This window comes from Homo sapiens, chromosome 7 (genome assembly GCF_000001405.40).
Source record: "Homo sapiens chromosome 7, GRCh38.p14 Primary Assembly".
NCBI classification, from domain to species: domain Eukaryota; kingdom Metazoa; phylum Chordata; class Mammalia; order Primates; family Hominidae; genus Homo; species Homo sapiens.
In genome coordinates, this window is record NC_000007.14 from 102,971,769 (window position 1) to 102,995,195 (window position 23,427).

Below are 23,427 nucleotides of genomic sequence, written 5' to 3' on the forward strand. Positions count from 1 at the left end.
TAATCCCAGCACTTTGGAAAGCCAAGGTGGGCGGATCACCTGAGGTCAGAAGTTCGAGACCAGCCTGGCCAACATGGCAAAACCCCATCTCTACTAAAAATACAAAAATTAGCTGGGTGTGGTGGCATGCACCTGTAATCCCAGCTACTTGGGAGGCTAAGGCAGGAAAATCGCTTGAACCAGGGAGGCAGAGGTTGCAGTGAGCCAAGATTGTGCCACTGCATTCCAGCCTGGGAGACAGAGTGAGAGTCCATCTCAAAAAAAAAAAAAAAAATTTAAAGACACTTTGAGACATAGACTGAGAGTTTGCTTCCAATGGACCCTTCACAAAGGAACTTCTAAAGAACACTGAAATCAGAAGAAAGGCATGAAATGCAAATAATAACAATGGGCAAAAAATCTAATAAGTATATGGGTAAAGCCATTAACTTTATAAAACAGTATCATGATGAAAACGTGGGGGTAGAACAATAAGATGGAACAAAAACACTAGATAATAATAACACTCTAACACCAGAGAGAGTAATCAAGAGTTAGTGTTCTAAATTTCAATTATTCTTCAAGAAGAAAGTATAAATATTAATTTACTTTAGGCCTTATTAATAAATGTACACATTAAAAATATTTGAGTAACCAGTAAAATAGTAGAAATAGAATGGTTATCTTCTACAACATGTTAAAAATATTTAAGAGTAACCAGTAAAATCATAGAAATAGAATGTATATCATCTAAAACATGAAAGTAGAAAAAAGGGGGTAGATTTAAATACTCAATAAATAGTACACTACTTGGTAATGGGTGCGCTAAAATCTGACTTCACCACTATACCATTCATCAATGTAACCAAAAACCACATCTATCCCAGAAGCTATTGAAATTACTTTAAACGTTTTTATTTTTTAAAAATTCAATAAAGTCAGGAAAGGGGAAAAATAAAACATATAAAAAGATAATAAATAATAAATAAAAAGATAATAAATAGTATAAAATGAAATTAGAAAAATGAACCCAAGTATATCAATAATCATAATAAATTTAACAAAATGTATTGGTTAGAAGACAAAAATTTTTTATTCCTAAAAATGCTTTTTGCTTTAATGTTTTTCCCCCAATATTAATGTAGCTATCTATTTTCTTTTCTTAGTTTTATTTTTAATTGACAAATAATAATTAAAATGCATTTATGGTTAAAATGTGATGTTTTGATTTATGTTTATAATGTGGAATGATTAAATCAGGTTAATAATTAAGAAATCACCACCTCACATAATTATCATTTTTGTGTGTGAAGAAAACATTTAAAATCTACACTTTCAGGCACGGAAAGACAAATTCTCCATGATTTCACTTCTATGTGAAATTTTAAAATGTTGGACTTACGGAAGTAACGAGTAAAATGATGGTTATCAGCCTTCCTTTCATTTGTGTTCATTTTGTTTTTGAAAGATTCTCCCCAACGCCCGAAAGCTTGAAGGAATGAGTAACTCCTCTCTTCTCAGGCCCAGTCCCAAGGCACAAGGCCACTTGTACCAGCAGCGTGAGTCAGCAAGATAGCAGAAGCAGGAAGAGAGCCGGCCAGAAGACACCTACCCTGGCCGGAAGACACGTACCCCTGAAGATCGAGAAACAGGCCATCTGGGTACCACATAGCAGTTACATCAGACTGGGACAATTCCTGTTTACGGAAGACTATAAAACCCTGCCCCCTACTCATTTGGTGCTGACGCCATTTTAGGCCTTAGCCTGCCTGCACCCAGGCGCTCATTAAAACAGCAGGTTGCTCCACACTGCCTCGTGTTGTCTGTTGGCACACTCTCAAGAGTTTGAACGGATACAAGAATCTTTCATCTGGTGCCGAAACCCGGGAGGGGCTCCGGTCTTCGTCCCCCGTGGACCTACCCCTCCGCCCCAGAAAGCAGGCCACAGCAGCCGGACAAAGGAAGCTCCTCAGCCTCCAGTTGCTTCTCTGTGCATGCACATCAGTCACTGATCTCACCTACTGGTAAGTTTCCCGGGAGCCCGGTTAACAAGGAAAAATCCATACAGCCTCTCTTGGTTTCTCCAGTCTGAAAATCCAACATTGGTCCAAGAAGGCTCCGACGTGTGCCAGGTACTTGCTGATCATCTGGTCTTAGGGGGACGCCTCTAAGCCATTTGATCCCGTTCCGGGAACGAAAAAGGCAGCGGTGACGATCGCTCCTTTCATCGTCTCCCTCCACCATCCAGGATGGTCTCCTTTTTCCCTGTTTTCCCGAGCCTACCCTCAGTTATGGGAAACTCCCCATCCTCAATTCCAAAAAACAGCCCTCTAGGCTGCCTCATAAAAAACCTGTAAACCTGGCCAGGTGCGGTGGCTCATGCCTGTAATCCTAGCACTTTGCGAGGGTGAGGTGGGCGGATCACCAGGTCAGGAGGTCAAGACTATCCTGGCTAACACGGTGAAACCCTGGCTCTACTAAAAATACAAAAAATTAGCCGGGCATGGTGGCAGGCACCTGTAGTCCCAGCTACTCAGGAGGCTGAAGCAGGAGAATGGTGTGAACCCGGGAGGCAGAGCTTGCAGTGAGCCAAGATCACACCACTGCACTCCAGCCTGGGCGACAGAGTGAGAGTCCGTAAAACAAACAAACAAACAAAAACCTGCAAACCTTAGGCCTCAGGCAAGATATCCATCCTCCTTGTCTTTTTTTGCAATTCAGACTGGCCACAATACGAATTGAATAATGGGTCCTAATGGCCCGCAAATAGAACATTCGACTTTACAATTTTAACTGATTTAAGCAATTATTGCTGACGACTGGAGAAATGGGGAAAAACTCCTTATGTCCAGCCCTGTTTGCACTCAGATCACAACCCGACCTCTGTAATTCTTGCTCACCTGTTCAAATCCTCCTCTATTCTCGCCACCCAGATCACCTTTCTCCTCCCAACTCGACATATTTTCCTCGTTAGATCCAGCAGACTGCTGTCCATTCCTCTCAGCCCCTGCCTCTCCCTCTCAGCCGTCTTCTTTAACCCCCTAAGCCTCCTCTTTATCTTCTCAGCTGCGATCTTCTCAGCCTTCATCTTCCCAGTCGCCATCTTCCCAGCCCCCATCTTCCCAAGCAGCAGTATCCACTTCTTTTCCTACACTGTCCTCTCCTCAGGACAATTCTAGCATTGTCTGTACTCATTACTCATTCTCCTTCCTCACTGCCCTCTCCTGAAGCCTGTAAACCCATCCCACCACCTTACGCCCCTATCTATCCTCCACTGCCTATCAACTTAACCCTCCTTCCCCCTTCAAACCCTCAGCAGGAACCACTTTCAGGTTCTTCCTTCTCTCCCACCCATACTCGCTCAGGCACCATCTTTGGCCCATGCCCCACCCTTAGTTCAGCCCCTGTGCTAGAGAGCCCCCTTCAGAAAGTAGCAGGAACTGGAGGCATTGTTAAAGTTTATGTTCCCCTCTCCCTCAGTGATCTCTCTCAAATTAACAAAAGACTCAGTTCATTTCCAGAAGACCCTACCTCTTACATTAGAGAGTTTCAGTACCTCACCCAGTCTTATGAACTAACTTGGCATGACCTCTACATTATCCTCTCTTCCACCCTCACCCCAGAAGACTGGGGCTGTATCTGGACCCTAACTCAGGTACATGCTGATACAATTCATCACCAAGCTCCTGCTCAGCCTACTGGTGCAAAGGCAGTCCCCAACCAGGACCCCCACTGGGATTATCAAGATGGGGCCTCTGGACGCTGCTGTCGAGACCACATGATTGTGTGCCTCCTTGCAGGACTCAAAAAGGCTGCCCATAAAGTGGTAAACTATGAAAAACTTTCAGAAATCACCCAAGGTCCTAACGAAAACCCAGCCCTTTTTATCTCTCGTTTAACTGAAGCCATGAGAAAATATACCAACCTAGACCTAGCCAGTCCAGAAGGAACCGATATTTTAAACCTTCAGTTCATCTCCCAATCCACCCCCAATATTCAGCGCCAGCTTCAAAAACTTGACAACAGCCCTCAAACCCCACAACGAGACTTTCTTAATTTAGCCTTCAAAGTCTTTAACAATCGTGATGAGGAAAGTAAAAGGCAAAAACAGGCAGGGTTTCAAATGCTTGCCTCCTCCATCAGGGGCCCTGCAGGCCATGGGGCCACAGCTCCACACAGAAGCCTCCTAGCAATCCACCTCCACCTGGTGCCTGCTTCAAGTGCGGCAATGAAGGCCACTGGCCCACACAATGCCCAAACCCAGGTAAACCCACGAGGCCATGCCCCCTCTGCGGAGGACCCCACTGGAAGTTGGACTGTGAGCGGCCCCTGCAAGGACCACCCCCATCCCTTCCTGAGCCAATCAAACCCTCCTACTCGGATCTCGTCAGCCTTGCCGCTGAAGACTGATAGTGCCTTGGAACAGACACCCCAGCAACTACCATCGCTTCATCTGAGCCAAGGGTAACCCTGATGGTGGCAGGTAGGCCAGTATGTTTTTAAAATTAATACCAGGGCAACCTATTCTGCTTTCCCTAATTTTTCAGGACCCACCCAGTCCTCCCAAGTCTCTATTGTGGAAATTGATGAACAAGCCTCCAAACCCTGAGCCCCCCGCTCCACTTTTCTGCTCCCTGCACACCTTTTCCTTCACTCACTCTTTCTTAGTCCTGCCCTCATGCCCAACTCCGCTCCAAGGCATCCTTTCAAAACTCCACACTGCTCTCCACTTCCACGTTCCCCATAATACCCAACGCATCAACCCAAACCCCTCTGGGGCTTCTTTCTTCTATTCCAACCTCCCACCTTAAAACATGCAACCTTTCCTTATCCCCCATCTGTAGTTAGCCCCCCTGTTTGGGGTAATTCCACACCCTCAGTCGCAAAACACCACACTCCCGTCCGTCCACATTACCCTTAAAGAGCCCACCCAGTTCCTATCACAGAAGCAGTATCCCATCCCCCAAGCAGCTCTCACAGGCCTAACGCCTATCATTTCTCACCTCCTCGCCAGTCACCTACTCCGCCCAACATACTCCCCTTTTAACACACCAATTCTACCTGTTAAAAAACCAGATGGAACTTATCGCTTAGTCCAGGACCTCAGGCTTATTAACCAAGCTGTACTCCCAGTATGTCCAGTAGCTCCTAACCCATATACTTTACTTTCTGCAGTTCCCTCCAATACCACCCATTTTTCTGTTCTAGACCTAAAGGATGCTTTTTTCACAATTCCATTACACCCTGATTCCCAAAACCTCTTTGCCTTTACATGGGAAAACCCCAACACCCATGGAGTCCCTGTGTATGATCACTTAAACAGAGAAAAACGATCCTTAAAGGTAGGAGGAAGCCAAAGACGGCAAGAGGACGAGTGGCCCCTGCAATGGATCATCGAATATTATGGTCCTGCCACTTGGGCGGAGGATGGTTCATGGGGTTATCGCACTCCCATATATATGCTAAATAGAATAATTAAGGCTACAGGCTGTTCTAGAGATAATCACTAACCAAACCGCCTCCGTCCTGGAAATGCTCGCACAACGACAAAAACAAATGTGCGTGGCAATTTATCAAAACAGGCTAGCACTAGACTACTTATTAGCAGAAGAGGGTGGAGTCTGTGGTAACTTTAATGTCTCCAATTGTTGTCTTAACATAGACAATAATGGAAAAGCAGTTCTAGAAATCGCTTCAAACATCAGAAAAGTAGCCCATGTACCAGTCCAAACCTGGAAAGGATGGGACCTGGCAAACCTTCTAGGAGGATGTTTCTCTAATTTAGAAGGATTTAAAATGCTGATAAGGACAGTAATCTTCATCATTGGGCTCCTCCTTTTTCTCCCGTGTTATCCCACTGATAATAAAAGCCATTAAAACTCTTGTTGAAGCTACAGTTAACTATGTTTATTGTGGCACTATTCACAATAGCAAAGACTTGGAACCAACCCAAATGTCCAACAATGATAGACTGGATTAAGAAAATGTGGCACATATGCACCATGGAATACTATGCAGCCATAAAAAATGATGAGTTCATGTCCTTTGTAGGGACATGGATGAAGCTGGAAACCATCATTCTCAGCAAACTATCGCAAGGACAAAAACCAAACACTGCATATTCTCACTCATAGGTGGGAATTGAACAATGAGAACACATGGACACAGGAAGGGGAACATCACACACCGGGGCCTGTTGTGGGGTGGGGGGAGAGGGGACGGATAGCATTAGGAGATATACCTAATGTTAAATGACGAATTAATGGGTGCGGCACACCAACATGGCACATGTGGCACATGTATACATATGTAACTAACCTGCACGTTGTGCACATGTACCCTAAAACTTAAAGTATAATAATAAAAGAAAAAGAAACTACAATTAACTGCCAGACAATCCAGACAATGCTCCTGCTACAATGACAAGATGGATACTAACCTGTCTCTCAAGAATACCAAAAAAATTAAGGTTTTCTTTTTCCAAGGTGCCCACGCCACCCCCTATGTCATGCCTAAAGTAGTTATTGAGAAAGTCACCCTTTTTCCCTTTTTTCTATAACCAAATAGAAAGGAATGAAGGATTCTCCCCAGGGCCTGAAAGCTTGAAGGAATGAATAACTCCTCCCTTCTCAGGCCCAGTCCCAAGGCGCAAGGCCACTTGTGCCAGCAGTGTGAGTCAGCAAGATAGCAGAAGCAGGAAGAGAGCCGGCCAGAAGACACCTACTCTGACTGGGAGACACGTACCCCTGAAGATTGAGAAAGAGGCCATCCAGGTACCACATAGCAGTTACATCAGACTGGGACATTTCCTGTTTACAGGAGACTATAAAACCCCTGCCCCCTACTCATTTGGTGCTGACGCCATTTTAGGCCTCAGCCTGCCTGCACCCAGGTACTCATTAAAACAGCGTGTTGCTCCACACTGCCTCGTGTTGTCTGTTGGCACACTCTCGGGGTTTGAACTGATACAAGAATCCTTCAGTTTTGTATTGTATTTTAGTTGGATTTTTAAAGTTTATCTCACAAAGAGGGTGACTACATAATAATTAAAGGTAGCAATTCACTAGAGATTATAGCAATCCTAACTATGCAAGCATCTAATAACAAAGCCACAAAGTGACAAGGAGAATCTGACAAATCCACAATCATAATGAAAGATAATATCAAAACGATCTCAATACTTGATAGATCAATGCAAGGAAATAAGTCTTCGATTTCTCAGTGCTCCTGTAAAAAGCACTAGCCTCCAGAGGCATGGAAATCTACATGATATAAAGATAGGTAATTTTACCCTTCACTTACTTTACAAACATTTTACTTTCCACCTACTATTGAAATTAGATCTGTAGTTATTCGTAGACAAATAGTTATTTGTCTGACAAACAGTTAATTGCTCTGATCCAAAAGAATAATAAAACTTCTCTTACCTCCCCAAGAAAGTCAAATGGTCACAGCCTGGATTAGTCAAGATTCCAAGGTGTCAGGAAGATCCCTAATTTACATTTCAAGAAGAAATGGGTCCCAGGACCTTGGAGACATGTCTAGGTCATAAAAGCTGGAGATGCTAGGGCTTACCTGGCCCTTGGAGAGATGCATTCTAAGAAGTCTTGCCTCTCTCTTTTACTTATAAATACCTTTGTGATTTTATTAGATCCACCCAGATAATCCAGGATAATCTCCCCATTTCAAAATTCTTGATTTAATCAAATCTGAGAAGACTCTTTTGTCACGTAAGGTAACATACTCACAGGTTCTGAGGACTGGGATATGGACATCTTTGTAGGGGGTGGGGTAATGTTCTACCTACCATACTATATGAGGGAATAATAAACACTAAATTTAAGACAGCAAATACCTCTGAGGGAGAAAAGAGAATGCAGTCATGGAGGCTTTAATTGTATGTTATGTTTTATTTCTTAAACTGGGTGGTGAGTGTACAGTTGCTCATTAAATTTCTTTGCATGCCTGAAATATTTTATTGAATAATCTCACTTTTTAATAAAAATACTTAGGAATAAATTTAACTAATTTAACTAAAAAGGTGAAAGACTAGCATACTGAAAATTACAAAACATTGCTGTAAAAAAATGTAAAAAGGCCTAAACAAATGGAAAGACATCCCATGTTCATGGATTGGAAGACATAACAATGATAACAGAAATTGAATCAGAATTTAAAATCTGCCTCTGAATAAACACCAAACAAACATGGGCCAAGAGTTTTATAAGACCATTCTATCAAATATCCAAAGAACAGACCCTACAAACAATAAAAATACTAAGATGTCAATACTATCTAAAGTGATCTATAGATTCAATGTAATCCCTATAAAAATTTCAAAGGCTTTTTTTGCAAAAATGAAAAATCTGACCCTCAAATTTGCAGTAAGTGCAAGGAGTCACAAGTAGCCAAAACAATTTTGAAAAAGAACAAAGTTGGAGGACTCACATTTCCTGATTTGAAAACTTACTACAAAGATATAGTAATCAAAATATCAAGGTACAGGATAGACATATAGACCAATGGAATAGAGCTGAGAGACCAGAAATAAATCCATACATCATGGCCAAGTGATTTTCAACAAGTGTGGCAAAACATTCAATGGGGGGAAAAAAGTCTTTTAAATAAATGGGACTGGGACAACTGGGTATCCAAATGTAAAAGAATGAGTTTGGACCCTCTACCTTACACCATATAGCAAAATGAAGTCAAAATGAGATAAATGACCTAAATATAAGAGCTAAAACCAGCCGGGTGCGGTGGCTTACGCCTGTAATCCCAGCACTTTGCGAGGCTGAGGCAGGCGAATCACGAGGTCAGGAGATTGAGACCATCTTGGCTAACATGGTGAAACCCCAGGTCTACTAAAAATACAAAGAATTAGCCGGGTGTGGTGGTGGGCACCTGCAGTCCCAGCTACTCAGGAGGCTGAGTCAGGAGAATGGTGTGAACCTGGGAGCCAGAGCTTGCAGTGAGCTGAGATCGTGCCACTGCACTCCAGCCTGGGCGACAGAGCGAGACTCCATCTCAAAAAAAAAAAGAGCTAAAACCATAAACTCTTATCAAAAAAATAGGGATAAATAAATCTTCATGACCCTGCGTTTAACAAAGAATATGACACCAAAAGCATGAGAAACAAAGGAAAAAATAAATAAGAGTTCATCAAAATGAAAACCTTGTGTGTCAAAGAACATGATAAAGAAAGTAAAGACTTCACTTTTTGCCTGTATGTACTGGGAGGGCAAGAAAAATGCCAGCAATTAAATGAGTTGTTGAAATGGCCAACAAGCCTTGGAAAGGTATTATGTTGGATCAGGTGGCCTGAAAGCTGTACTTGTAGTTTTGTACCTACTGTACTTGTAGGATATTTTTGAAGACAGAGGAACTATTGTAATTAGTCCTATGTTCAGAGAGGTAAAAGCAACTAGAAAAGAAAAGTGGCAGCACAGAAAAGTAGTAGAAATATAGAATCAATTTTCTGAGCATACAGAGAAAGAACAAATGACTTGTTTAAAAGGGTCCATTTTAATGTTCTTCCTTTTTATACTGGTAAATACTTTCTAGTCCAAGAAATCTGGCTCCGAATTTCCTAAAATTTTTACTTATTTGATCTATTCCCCTGTATGTACCCATCTCCCATTGCCTGCACACCTTTCCCCCCCTTACCCACCTCTTTTTCTGACATTGCACACAGGCCAGTCTCTCATCCCACAGACTTGTTCTCAAAGAAGACATACTTTCTCTAGAAGATAGTATCCTAAAGAGCATTCTCCTATTGTCTTAGTCCATTTGAGCTGCTAAAACTGAGTACTATAGACTGAGTAACTTATAAACAAGAGGATTTTATTTCTCACAGTGCTAGTGGCTGGAGGCCTAAGATAAAGTCTCCAGCAGATTCAGTGTCTGGTGAGAGCCCACTTCCTGGTTTATACACAGTCATTTCACTGTGTCCACACATGGCAGTAGGACCAAGGAGAATCTGGGATCCCTTTTATAAGGGCACTAATCCCATTCATGAGGGCTTTGCCCTCATGGCTTAATCATTTCCAAAGACGTCACCTGCAAATACCATCATATTGGGGATTAGGTTCAACGTCTGAGTTTTGCGGGACATAAACATTCAGTCTATAGCAACTATGTTTCCCAAATTCCATTAAAAGCCAAAATATTATTTTGACTATACAGGTCCAAATGGGTCTGTAATCCCAGCACTCTGTGAGGCTGAGGGGGGCAGATCACGAGGTCAATGCTGGGTTACAGCCCAGCATTCAAACACTGGATCCCGGGCACATATAGATACACTCTTCTTTTTCCTCCACTGTGGAGTAGCAGTCCCACTTCTCCTTGATAGTTAGGGTCAATTACTCCACCCAACACAGTAATTCCCTTCTTCGCTTGTTGATTCAGGGGCATGAGGAGTTCATAGTGGTTGGGTGGCAGTCTTAACTTTTAGTTCGATAGAACTATCATTGTGCGTCCTGGTGTAAACATTCCTCCTTTTTGAACCAAAACCTCTAGGTTAGCAGCATAAGCTTATGGAAACAGAAAGCAAAATTTTTGCTAGTAGGTTACTAGGGGTAATAGTGAGTGTGCCACTCCCATTTCCAACCCTTGATTCCTGGACCCAAGAATCTTGACTATGGAAGGAAGAGTATCATATATTGGACTGTGATTCAGAGTATATACAGATTCCTAGAGAACTTTGCCCCAGCCTTGCAAGGTACTCTCCCATCGTTGGCACTGGAATTGAGTCTTCCAAAGGCCACTTCACCATTCTGTCAAACCAGCTACTTCAGAGTAGTGGTAAAAACTACAGTGTAACTGTGTTCACTGTAAAAACCAGTGAATTCCAGGAGCATGGACCCATTGAGGCATTTCTTTTGCTGTGAAGTTTTATAAATGGAAGTTCCTCTGCACAAGCTCTCTTGCCTGCCACCATGTAAGATGTCCCTTTGCTATTCTTTCATTTGCAACCATGATTGTGAGGCCTCCCCAGCCATGTGTAACTGTGAGTCCATTAAACTTCTTTCCTTTATAAATTACCCACCCAGTCTTGGGTATGTCTTTATTAGCAGCATGAGAACAGACTAATACAAGCTTTAGAGCCCTTTCTAACTCCTTGTGCCAAAATATAAATGCAGAATCTCTATTTAGAGAACTCATGTGAATAAACTCAGCGTCTTCCAACTTTATCTTCTTTCTACCATTATCCCATACCCTCATTATCCATTTCCACATATTTTTCAGATTTCAGTCTGTATAAGTTAGAAAACTCAAGTAGTTTTTTTTGGAGTGTAGTGCACTTTCTCATGGGTCACATTTTGTCCCACACCTTCAAAGGCCTGCTGGGACTTGAGTCTAATTATGAGACTAGAAGCAAAGAGGGGTGGTAGGGGTGAGTTCTAAGAAAAATCAATATTGTCTTGCTTGGCAACTGCCTCAGTGGAGGCCATTACAATTTCCTCATGCAGTGTAGCATTAACCACCTTCTGAGGTGGAGAAGCCACTAGCACTGGGAGTGCGGAGGCCACTTCCACTAGCAGTAGGATTGCCTCTTCCACTAGCAAAGAAGACTCACCAGAAGTTAGAGGCTCAATGTCCTCAGTTTCATCAAGGTCTTCCCACAAGTCCCCATTCCAACTTATAGAAACCCATTCTGGTTTTCTTTTTTCCCCTTTTTTTTTTTTTTTTGAGTGGGGTCTCGTTCTGTCACCCAGGCTGGAGTGCAGTGGTGTGATATCAGCTCACAGAAAACCCCACTTCCCAGGTTCAAGCAATTCTCTTGCCTCAGCCTCTGGAGTAGCTGGTTTTATAAGTGCCTACCACAATGCCCAGTTAATTTTTGTATTTTTAGTAGAGACGGGGTTTCACCATGTCGGCCGGGGCTGGTCTTAAACTCCTGACCTCAAGTGATCTGCCTGCTTTGGCCTCCCAAAGTGCTAGGATTACAGGCATGAGCCACCGCACCCAGCAAGAAACCCATTCTTTCCCAGTCAACGCCTTCACTTTAACAGAGTATAAAAGTGGGTCACCGGATGAGATAAGATAACTGTAAAACTGGGTCACAGGATGAGATTCTGCATTTGATTTTCAGGAATCTCAGCCCTGTGGCTAAAGGAGATAAGACTCTCCCTCAGGGCACATGTGGAAGCTTTCAGTCATTTATGCAGTACTTGAGCTGGAAATTTGAATTCCTGAGCTCCTTCTTTTCTTTCAATACTTTGTTCGTGACATTAGGAGCAACAAGCCAACCTAATTATATTCATGTGATTTCCAGAAATGTTTGAGAGTATCATATGCACAATGATCAGCTCCTTGCTTCTTATAAGTGGTTGATTGGGAACATCCAATGGAGATATTTGGCATATCTCTATTGCCAGATAACACCGTGAAACATCAGTGCTCTTTTTAGCACTGAAAAAAGAGTCATTTGCATCTTTAAATCTGATCACATTAAAAAGCCAATTCTAGGAACCTAAAAACCAATTCTAAAAACTCATCCTTAAAATTCTGTTCCTATAGAACCACCCTTGGTACCAAAATCTGTATTAGTCTGGGTTCTCCAGAGAAAAAGAACCAAGAAGATATATATAACTATCTACCTATCTATTTATCTACCTATCTATCCATCCATCCATCCATTAGATATATATTGAGAGAGAAAGATAATTACTTAAAGGAATTGGCTTATGCAATAATGAAGGCCAAGAAGTCCAAGACCTTCTGTTGGCAAACTGGAGACCCCAGAGAGCTGGTGGTATAGTTCCAGTACAAATCTGAGTCCAAAGGCAAGAGAAGATTGATGTCCCAGATCAAAGGCAGTTCATTCATTCTTGGGGCTTATATGATGTTTTATTTATTATAACTACTTAATTGATATTTTTTTAATGCCGTACTTTCAATAAGAAGGGAAAGAAGATAACAATTGTATGGAGATAGAAAGGAGATTTATATTTGTTGTGCACTTCTGTGTGCTAGGAATTTTATTTTAATTATTAGAAGAACCCTGCTATGTGCCAATTATTATCTTAAAGATGCGGGAATCTAACTGCATACCATTTTCTAGTTCTATCTGGGTTAGGGTTGCTGCCTTAAATAAAGGATGCCCAATTAAATTTGTATTTCTGATAAAGAACAAATAAATTTTTTGTATTATTATATGCCACATATTGCACAGGACATACTTACACCAAAAAATAACAACTTTATCTTAAATTCAAATTTAACTGGGCATCCTTTATTTTTATTTGCTAGTTCTGGCAACCCTACCCTTGATTGGGGTCCTGCATTGCTTGTGCTGGTCTCTCTCTCCTTTATCCCTGAAGACAGACCTTCATTCCTGACACCTGATCACCCAGTCTCTGATCACCTGCCTGTCACTAAGATCACCATGTGTTGATGGCTTCATACCCACACCACTGTGTTGTACCTATCTGCAGGATTCCCACCAGTTTAGAATTCTTTCATGCTCACCACCTGGCCAGCATGCATCTGGTGGAACCCCTGGACTACAGTCAAATTCTCTGTAGACCATGTCCTAGCACATCCAGCTATGTGACAGTCTGCACTTCACACTATCCAGAACCCACACCACCCTGGTGGCTATGCTCCTGAGTGAGCTTCCAACCAGCAAACAAACCATTCCACATTCCACACAATAAAAGATATTGTGGGAAGGTACAAACTGTGGATAGATAACTAACCAACAACCCACAGAGGCATGTTACAACTCAGGGGCAGCAGGAAGATCCCCAGAAAGGGGGAGTAGATGGGATTTGTGTTCAATACTTTTTTTCTACATAGATAAGGCTATATTCATGTTTATGAAATCAGTGAATTCCATAGAGCTGGAAGACATAGCTGACTCACTGAATATTGGAATCAGAACCAAAATCAACAAGATGAAATTGAACAGGAATAACAGAAACTGTTATGCTAAGGTTGAGATTAGCAGTGACATAAGGCAGAACATCCAGTCAGCAGTTCACATAAAGACCTCAGAGTTTTGGTTCAACACAAGCTCAAGGATGGGCATTATCATGTAATGGGGGAAAAACAACATTTAGATTCAAACAAACCCAATCTCAAATGCTAATTTCACCACTACATTGCTATGACCCAAGTCTTTGTCTCATAAAATGGGCATACTCACTCATAAAATGGGTGAGTATGAACAAGATAACACATGTTGAGCATGTGTGAACAGTGCCTAGAATGCATGGGAGATACTCAGTAATCCACACCCCACATCCCTGGAACCTGGCACGATGCCCCCCCCCCATCAATACATTTAGTAGGAGACATCATAGCACTTTCCAAATAATCTATTGAAACATTCATTTTTGCCTGTCCTCTTTATTTAGGATGCCAGAAGAAATGGGAAGACATTAAGGTTTATGTGCTAATATTTGAGTCCTTTCATGGCATTTACATGGCAGAGCCAAAAGCAGAAGTTGACAACCATCAGAAGCCAAACCAGCCCCACAAAATACCTAGCCTTCAAGAGAGAAATTGGACCAATCTATGAAAAATGTTGCTGGTGTGTGGGGATGGGGAGGTTGGAAAGTTGCTGAGACTTCGGGAAGGAATGGAGGCTCATGACAGATATTTGTGCCACATTCCCATGTAGACCTTCCTAAAATGTGGCAGGCCCTCTAATGGGCACCATCAGAAAGCCATGGCAACTGACGATCAAAAGATCTGCCTTGAGGCCATGGTCCCTGTGCCCAAGCTGGGCTCAGAAATCATGGAGTCTCCCGCCTTCAAGGGACTGTGTCGATTTAGGCAGTGAGCACAGCCACAGCCGCCCGTGTGGATGTGGACTGAAGTCCAGTTCTCTTCATGGGTGCTTGGCTGTGAGACACCTCTAAGACTCTTGCACAACCAAGCAGCAGGGGAAGAAGGATATTAGAATTGAATGTGATGATTGAGATTTAATTTACTGGTTAAATGGGTGGGGACATGCAGCAGATGGGCCGATTGTAAAGGAATAAATATAACATTTATTTTCATCCAAGTACTAGGGAGTATTTTTTTTGTATGCTTTGTCAGAGATCAGTTGGTTGTAACTATTTAGCTTCATTTCTGTTTATCACACCATAATTCACAATTGCAAAGATATGGACCAAACTAAGTGCCCATCAATTAATGAGTAGATAAAGAAAATGTGATACACACACACACACACACACACATATACACATACATACACACACCATAGAATACTAAGCCATAAAAAAAAAATGTATTTTGCAGCAATTTGGATGGAACTGGAGGCCATTATTCTAAGTGAAATAACTCAGGAAGGGAAAACCAAATACTGTATGTTCTCACTTGTAAGTGGGAGCTAAGCTATGGGTATTCAAAGGTATACAGAGTGGTATAATAGACACTGGAGACTCTGAAAGGGAGAGGGCGAGAGAGGAGTGAGGAATAAAAAAATAGTATACTATGTACACTATTCAGGTGACAGGTACCCTAAAATTTCAGATTTCACCAGTATATAATTCATCCATATAACCAGAAACCACTTGTACACCTAAAGTTATTGAAATTTAAAAATTGTAAATAAAAATCCCACATATATTAGGGAGTATAATTCACACTCTCTATGAAGTAAAAAGGGCTTATACAGTAGGCCAAACTCAACCCTACCACTGTGATTTAACCTAATTCCCCAAGCATCATTTATTTCATTAGCAAAACAGAAAAAAAAAACATACCTCACAAAGATATGGGGAGGATTACATGAGATAACTAATAGCAAAAATCCAAGCACAGTTCTTAGGGTAGTGTGGATGCATTTTATACGAATTTGAATTTGGTGGATTTAAAATAGTGAAATAAAAACATAAGCCTCACTATATGGCAAAACTTGAAATAATGTGAAATCCCACTTTATATTTATTCCTAAATGAAAACGCATCTTGAGTGGGTATCATACACTAATCACTAATGGGACGTGGAGAATTTTTTTTAAAAGGAGAAGTCCAGGATGATTCCCACAATTCTAATTTGGATGACAAGTGATGACACCATTTACCAAGAAAGCCCAGGAATACAGAGGGGTGGGGAGTAGTCCCATAAGAGAGGTGGGGAAGTAACGGCTTCAAGCTGAACACGCTAGGGGGTAGATGCTATGAAATATTCCAGTGGAGTTACCCAGCAGGCATTGTTAAATGACCTGGGTCTTACAAGAGAGTGATGGCTGGAGATACACAGATTTGGCAATCGTGAGTAAACAGCATATAACTATAACCTAAAGCATGTATTTGAAATCACCCAGGGAGTGAAGATGGAATGAGAAGAACAGAGAAACAATGACAGAGTCCTTACAAACACCATGATACAAGAAGGCAATGGGGATATGTTATCCTAAAGGAATCCTAAAAGAAGTGATCAAAAAGGTGAACAGAAAACCAAGTGGGAGTACTGTCACTGAGGATGAGTTTCCAGAGAGAATTAATGCTGAAGAAGCTATTGCAGGTCAGTGGTCAGTCTAGCTAGCACTGCTTCAATGAAGGGTAAAGATATGCTCAGGAATGTCCACTTTAAGGGGCGGGGATGATACTTGCACTGGATGCTGCACTAATCAGATAACACTTGGAATATTTTTTTCCACCTCCAGACACTGCTGAGTATGAAGAACTAATTGGAGAAGGAAGCCGTTGTATAGCAGATGCAGAGCAGCAGCAAAAATGGTAATGAAAATAGAAGATAAATTAGAAAATTTGGAAAAACCCAAACAGATCAGCCATATTGAAGGGAAAAAGAAAAACAAAACAAAGTGGGAGGGCAGAAATGTAGAACGGTATACACTCTTTTAACCCCAAGGATGAATGTAGCCAAGAACACAGTGGGGACTTAGGAGTCTCAGCACAGAGCATTCTCTACTCCCTACTGCTCAGGCAAAGAACTCCTTCATCATGCAGAACCAAAACTGGTGTAGAGTCTTAAATGACCTGGGTATCTCTACGCAGAAGAAAGCGCTTTCCATGTAAAAGGATTAACTTGAACCTGGGTGCTCAAGGGACACCCTAGGCTGCTTATCCCACTGATTCTGATCTGACTGTGTTAAGTAATAAATCATGTGGTTACATATTCACATTATCTTGTGTAGTTTTCTCTCACATTGCTACTTAAAGAGAAACCCCAGACACAATAATGAGGGAGCTCAGTATAAGGGTATGAAGAGATCCAGGCAAGCTATAACCTGGAGAGCTCCTTGCCCTTCAGAAGGTGAGACCACTCAGAATGAGGGAGAAAACGTGGCCCAGCCCACTTTATGAGGAAGCTACAAACAGAATTCTTAGAAGACAGCAGCCAAGGGAGTAGCAGGGATGGGGACAGGGAGGGCTGAGACTAGAAACTCACAGAGGAACAAACAATTGAGTAAACTGGAAACAAGTAACCACAAAAGCACTAGAAAATAAAATGAAAGCTTTGCATGAATAATTGACAAATTTGATCTTCCTTGTGAATGCAGAAGAAGGAACTAGAAACAAAAGATAATGAGGCCGCTTTCTCTGCTTTGATCTGAAGGACAACTTTCTAATTATCTGATCTTTCCCAAGACAGAACAGAATGCATCGCAAAGTCAACAGACTCTCCAGCACAGAAAGTACTAGACCAAATGCTGGATAAACATTACTGCTAATGGAGACGTTTCATTGCCTTGGCCTCACATCTCTATCTAGAAACACTTTAGAAACACTCTGGGCCTCTCTCTCTCTACCCCTCATATCTTCCCAGGAGAAGAGGAGGAGTGTTTGGGAGAAAGAACTAGGCTTGCAATTCAGCTCCTGCTCCACCCTGCCTTGACCTGAATGCAAGATGCATGCATCCTGGTCTGCTCTCAGCAGCATAGGGAGGCCTGCAGTTGTTCAGCTGTGCAGTGACCGAGGGGCGAGTCTATCTGATTCAGGGATGAAAGAATGAAGTAGTATCCTTTGTCAGTGATCTTAAGTCATAGTCTCCTATCAGCTGTATCAGAAAATATGTCCACTTCCATCTCTCTATTTCTCAATTGGTTCCAAACTCAGATACGGAAGAGGGTGCCCTCTAAAACCTCAAGAACATCTGTGAGGAATATTTTCCTGTAAAAGAGGTTGGATCACATAACTCTAAAATTGCTGTATATGTAGAATTCAGTGACTCTTACTTTTCAGATACTTCTAGGACCTTCTAACTTAATGTCTCATTGACATTTCAAATTCACTGAATCCAAAATTAAGTTTCTCTTTCCCCAAAACCAGTTGACTCTCCCGACATTACTGCACATCATAAGTAGCACTGGCTTCACATTCATCAAGATTTAAAAGGTTAAAGTTTCCAAATAATAGGTAAATTGGAAATGTCCTTATCATGATTCCAAAGCAATGCCGACACCAGAGAGTGGTGGGTGAAAGCCTAGCTGTGACTGCCATGACCTAGTAAGAATGTAGGGCAAAGAGAGAGAGCCAAAGCCAACATCTGGAGGTACAGTCAGACCAGAGCCAACATCTGGGTGTGAGGAGAGAGCAAGAAACCTATCCTGAGGATAGAGAAATAATTCCCAGAGAAAAGAAACAGGAAATGTCATGCCACAGAAGCCCAGAATCAAGTGCTACTGAAAAAGCAAGACAAGAAGGGATCATAGGCAATCAGATTTGATGATTAAGAAATTCCTGGGACCTTGATGAGACCAAGTTTGTAATAGTGGAGCTGAAAAGAAAACATCATTTTTCATTCGATCATTCAACCAATATTTATTGGGCATCTACAGATTGTGAATTCAAAGCAGGTAAGACACTGTCCCTGTCCTCAAGGCACATATAGTCCAAGAAGAAAACACAAAATAGGCCATTATAAGAGAGTAAAAAGTATCTCAAGAGGGACTCTGGGAACAGAGAGGAAGGGTAACTAACCAAGACTGAGAGAGAGGACAGAGGATCAAAGGTAGCCTTTCTGGAAGAGATGACATCTGAGCTGAGCCTAAGCAGGACTGAGTAGGGCAAGGAAGAAGAGGAGAGAGCCTACAAAGAGAGCACGTGATGGGTGAAGGCATATGGCCAGAGAGGGTGCCTTGAACTTGGGTAACATGGAGTAACTCCACATGGCTACAGCCAAGGGCTCGTCTGGAGCAATGATGGAGAATGCAGCTGAGAGGTAGTGGAGGCTAGAACTGGAAATCCTCATGCAGCATGTTAAAGCCAACAGAGTTCAGGAGAGATTTTAACCAGGAAGTGACATGAATAAATGTGATCTGAGAAAGACAACTCTGGTGGACAAATGAAAAATAAGTCAGGTGGTCAAAGTCAACAGTCAAGAGTAGATGCCAGAAGACAAATTCAGTAGCTTTGAATTTGATAGTAATGTCACTAATAGACAATGAGTGCCAGAGAGAATGGAGAGAAGAAAGAAAGTGAAATTACATGCTAAAAAGAAAAAAATATGCAGTAGGGGGTAAAAGAGAGAAGTCAAAGATATTTCCAAATTCTGGCCAAGTCAGCTGAGTAGATGATAGTGCCATTCATTGAGAAACAGGATACAAGAGACAGGGTTGGACAGGATATGGGGGAAAAGGAAGGTTGGAGGAAGAAAATGATGAGTTCTGTTTTGGTAATGATGAATTGGCTTGTGCCTTTGGAACACCCAGGTAGAGACTGTTTAAAGCAGTTTTTGAGTGTCACAGTGGGCAGGTGGGAGGTAGTGTCAAGAAGTCTGCCAACACATAACAGGAGAAAAATAGAATACTTAGCAGCATTGAGAAATGATTTATAGGAAAGGAGTGAGTCAAACACATTTTTAGACATGAAGGAATAAATCAATAGAAAGAAAGAAATTTAAGATCATAGGACCAGGGAAGGCATGGGAAAGAGCAAGTTGGCAGTTCTCTCCTGTTTAATGTTACCTTGTAGTGCAATAAAAGGAGGGCTGTCTTTGGAACATAAAACACGGACTCTTGAGTTAATTGATAAATTGCTTCAATGCAAATCACAAGCCACCTGAAACAGATGGTAAACTGCTAAAATAAATTAGGTTCCACCAACCATTCCAATGGAACATTGTATGATATGGAAAGAAAAATACTTAACAAGACAGGAAGCATGAGTCAGGAATAAGTGGTGCGCAGTGTGAGTCATGCCTGTAAGATCAATAAAGAAGCTGGCTCTGCTCCTGACTGCATTACTTCTGAGCCTCCTACCCCTCCAGTCACCCAGTCTCAATGCTGCCCTATCACCCTCCTCACTCATTCTTTCACTCCAGATACTATGGGTCCCAGAATTCTGTTAATGCTTTGGTTCTCACATGGGTCCTTTTTTTTAATTTCCCACTGATACTATCCTAATGCTCTTAGAGAAATCTGTCTACCTCCAGACTTCATCCAACCCCCTTGACCCACCCAAGGCAGGGGGAGGGTGAGGGAAGAACAGTGAAGGGAGAAAAAGAACAGCTTTATAAGTCTGCCATCATGTTACTGGCTTGCAGTGGTCCCTCACTGCCTACTGGTTAAAACCCATCTCCTAAGTGGATACTCAAGGCCTCAACAACGCAGACCCAACCCACCTTTCCAAACACATCTTGTTACTGTCAACTTAAATTCTCTATCATCTCCTTTTTACAAATGAGACAATTTAGAAACAGAAACATTAAGCAGCATGCCCAGCCACAGCTGTCACACAGCTAGTGACAGAAGCGGCCACCCAGACTCCAGGGCACATTCTCCCCATTTCCATGTGGCTGCCTCTTACTGGGGTATAGTTTTTTGTCTTTCATATGCTAGATCATTTTGCAAGGGTGGTCCTGCTAAAATTAATAGAACTGCTTCTGCAATTTAAAAGTCATGAAAACTTTAGATCAAAATCACTTGTAAACTTTTTCCCTTTTTGGGAGGGGGATGGGGTCTCACTCTGTCACCCAGGCTGGAGTACAGTGGCACAGTCACAGCTCACTGCAGCCTCAACCTCTCCAGACTTAAGCAATCCTCCCACCTCAGCCCATCGAGTAGCTGGGACTACAAGACATACGCCAGCACATCTGGCTAATTTTTGTATTTTTCATAGAGACACAGTTTTGCCATGTTGCTCAGGTTTCTCTGGAACTTCTGGACCCCAGCGATCCACCTGCCTGTGCCTCCAAAAGTGCTGGGATTACAGGCATGAGCCACCACGCCCAGCCTGTAAACACTTTAACAGAGACAGCGATTAAGACTAAAGTGATGAAAGTGAGGTCTATGGGTAGAGCAATGTTCCACCAAAAATCAACTGTTCCCAAAGTGACTTCTAGATGTTTTGTTTCATTTGCTTTTTCACCCACACCACAACTTGAGCCAATATCCACATACTTCCTTGATAGAGCAATGTGGTTGTGGAACCTTTCCTTATCTGAAGTTCACACAGTACACAGCTATGAAACCTGGAACCACTGTCTGCATTGGTGAAATGAGGTCAGACTGACCCCTGAGGTTATCAAAACATAGATCTGAAAAGTCACTGGGAATATTCTTTTGTTTTACAAGTAATTCTAAGTAATTTAATCAAACAGGCCTGAACCATCTGGCTCTTTTACAACATGGTACTAGTTTTAATAGCTATCCATGTTTCTTTTCTTCCCCAAGTGAGAAAATGAGTCATCAACACAGTAAAATCTGAAGGTGATTTTATAACCGTTTGCAAGTCCACATGACATATATCTTTTACAAACAAGAAGTCATAGTTGTTTAAAATGAAGACAACCCTAAAGCAACACTTACATTATTAAACTAATCAAGTAATTTTACATTTTAAGAAACTGCATTACTTAACTATTTTAGAGTTTCCAAATTCATCAGCATAAGGCTTTTCTCTGTGTTGCTTGCCAAACTACACAGAAGGAAAAAAAAAAACCAAACTTGTATTTTCACGGAAAACAGTCTTTGCCAACCCTCCCACTAGCTCTAAGTTTGGCCAACAGTTTGACTGATAGTGTATGAGCCCTACCATCTGCTAACTAAGCAGCATTTCCTAACGGGTAAATGATACTAAGAAAAATGGTTGCAAAACAGAACCTGACTTGTTTTCATGAGTTGATGTAACTGAACCTAAAATGCAAGACTACAGTTTGTTATGTGTATTCTAAGAAAGTTCAAATTGTATCCCAATCCAAATTGCTGGTTTCAATTATTCCTTCAAAACATTAAACAGCCTGTATATAAAAAACCTCAATTTATTTAAAAAACTAACACTTCTAACCATTTTAAATAAGGTTCAGACCAAATTCACATCACATTTTTGTTTTCACACCTTTCCTTCTCAAGTCCCTGAGTTAGTGAACCAGATTAAATGCCATTTAAAAAGTATGATTTAAAAAATTAACTTTGCAAATCTATTATACATTAATAAGCATAACAAACCCAACCATTCAAGATATTAGTCTTAGAATAATTAACTTATATGTTTATATGCTATTATATAAATCTACTCTTATTACTTGTGCATTTTTAATGAACATTCTGCACATTATTTGGGGAAATTTTGAGGATATCTATAAAAATAATACTGGCTTTTTTTTCTGTCATATCAAGATTTAGTAACTTTAAAAAAGTTACCCTTGTTTTTTTAAGGACAGGACAACTAAACAGATGTATAATATTCTTAATTATTGCTTTTTGTCTCATGAAATATTAATATATATTCTATTTCTTTAGAATTCTCCAAGAGGAAAAAAAAAAGATATAGAGGCTATAAGCTTAGCCAAGGACACAGAAAAACCAGGTCCTGCCCTCAGTTTTGTAGTTGTCTGACTTTGGGGATGTGAAAAAAGTTATCTGAAAAGGAATTTCGAGAAGAGAGACTTTATTCCAGTGAACAGTTTCCAAACGGGGAAGACAAACCCTTCAGTGGAAACAAAAGATACATTAAAGAAAAAAGGAGGGTTTCGCTTTTATAGTTAAAATTCCCACCCAGCTTTCCACTCAGGTCCTCTTATGCAAATACAGAATTCAAACTGGCTTAGTTCTGATTGGTTGACACTTGCAGAGTTCTGATTGGTCAATGCTGCTGGCTTCTGATTGGTCAGTGCAGGCTACACTCTATTGGTTGGTTCAGGCCACGTGGACAGAAACTGTTAGCTATGACAACCCCAAAGTTAAGCAGATGTGTAGGTTTTCTGGGAACTCAGAGTATGTGTGTGAGCTCTAGTCAGCAAATGGCCACCTGACTCTATTTTAAATTTCAGCCCAGTTAGGTACTCAAAACTCATCTTGAGAGATTGGCTCTTTCAGATTCGCACATAAAATTTCTCAGATCCACAGCTGTCCCTCTTGTAAAAGGTAAAAGCTTAGCACAAACATCTCTAAGCTGTCTTCTAGCTTGATCATGCTATGGTTTGAGCACTCTGGTAGACTTTATAAATCTGGGCCCCAAAGGGCTCTACTTTATTTCCCATGAGCATGGGGGAAGCTGGGGTGAGAGAAGGCATTAAAAGCAT

The 23,427-nt window shown here is 41.5% G+C and overlaps 1 protein-coding gene and 1 long non-coding RNA gene across 25 annotated transcripts in view, besides 6 other annotated features; one reads left to right on the plus strand and one right to left on the minus strand.

The window, feature by feature from the left end:
* Positions 1-23,427, minus strand: part of FBXL13 (F-box and leucine rich repeat protein 13) — a 263,608-nt gene that overhangs the window by 160,580 nt on the left and 79,601 nt on the right. For 3 of the 21 annotated variants that reach the window (XM_047420045.1, NM_001438453.1, XM_006715898.4), the window contains exon 1: positions 1,382-1,553. The exons of the other annotated variants lie outside the window; for them this stretch is intronic. In XM_047420045.1, coding sequence (XP_047276001.1) covers positions 1,382-1,423 — 42 coding nt within the window. In that variant the 5' untranslated portion in view covers positions 1,424-1,553. Of the gene's footprint in view, positions 1-1,381; positions 1,554-23,427 lie in introns of those variants that run through there. 21 annotated transcript variants of the gene reach the window in all.
* Positions 1,183-2,382: an enhancer, noted in NCBI's record as "MED14-independent group 3 enhancer chr7:102613398-102614597 (GRCh37/hg19 assembly coordinates)". NCBI's record gives its function as "activates an origin of replication core promoter dependent on BRD2, BRD4, P300/CBP and CDK7 cofactors, and independent of MED14, by STARR-seq in HCT116 cells {active_cell/tissue: HCT116}" and the evidence as "EXISTENCE:reporter gene assay evidence [ECO:0000049][PMID:35650434]".
* On the plus strand, positions 1,662-17,085 carry NFE4 (nuclear factor, erythroid 4). Of its 4 annotated transcripts, NR_166511.1 has the most exons (5): positions 1,662-2,003; positions 6,613-6,752; positions 14,343-14,518; positions 16,265-16,464; positions 16,607-17,085. It is a non-coding gene; the product is annotated as a nuclear factor, erythroid 4 (long non-coding RNA). The 4 variants fall into 4 exon arrangements; NR_166510.1 differs by lacking the exon at positions 14,343-14,518; NR_166512.1 differs by lacking the exons at positions 6,613-6,752; positions 14,343-14,518.
* Positions 1,840-2,353: an enhancer, noted in NCBI's record as "H3K27ac-H3K4me1 hESC enhancer chr7:102614055-102614568 (GRCh37/hg19 assembly coordinates)". NCBI's record gives its function as "activates a minimal SCP1, AML or CMV promoter by ChIP-STARR-seq in naive H9 embryonic stem cells {active_cell/tissue: H9 hESC(naive)}" and the evidence as "EXISTENCE:reporter gene assay evidence [ECO:0000049][PMID:30033119]".
* Positions 2,033-2,203: a silencer, noted in NCBI's record as "fragment chr7:102614248-102614418 (GRCh37/hg19 assembly coordinates)". NCBI's record gives its function as "represses an EF-1alpha promoter that drives an FKBP-Casp9 reporter gene in an ReSE screen in phorbol 12-myristate 13-acetate-treated (for megakaryocytic differentiation) K562 erythroleukemia cells {active_cell/tissue: K562(+PMA)}" and the evidence as "EXISTENCE:reporter gene assay evidence [ECO:0000049][PMID:32094911]".
* Positions 4,774-4,935: a silencer, noted in NCBI's record as "fragment chr7:102616989-102617150 (GRCh37/hg19 assembly coordinates)". NCBI's record gives its function as "represses an EF-1alpha promoter that drives an FKBP-Casp9 reporter gene in an ReSE screen in K562 erythroleukemia cells {active_cell/tissue: K562}" and the evidence as "EXISTENCE:reporter gene assay evidence [ECO:0000049][PMID:32094911]".
* Positions 19,748-20,947: an enhancer, noted in NCBI's record as "P300/CBP strongly-dependent group 1 enhancer chr7:102631963-102633162 (GRCh37/hg19 assembly coordinates)". NCBI's record gives its function as "activates an origin of replication core promoter dependent on BRD2, BRD4, P300/CBP, MED14 and CDK7 cofactors, with strong dependence on P300/CBP, by STARR-seq in HCT116 cells {active_cell/tissue: HCT116}" and the evidence as "EXISTENCE:reporter gene assay evidence [ECO:0000049][PMID:35650434]".
* Positions 19,974-20,268: an enhancer, noted in NCBI's record as "tiled region #11249; HepG2 Activating DNase matched - State 9:DNaseU, and K562 Activating DNase unmatched - State 5:Enh". NCBI's record gives its function as "activates a minimal TATA promoter and a strong SV40 promoter by Sharpr-MPRA in HepG2 and K562 cells {active_cell/tissue: HepG2 | K562}" and the evidence as "EXISTENCE:reporter gene assay evidence [ECO:0000049][PMID:27701403]".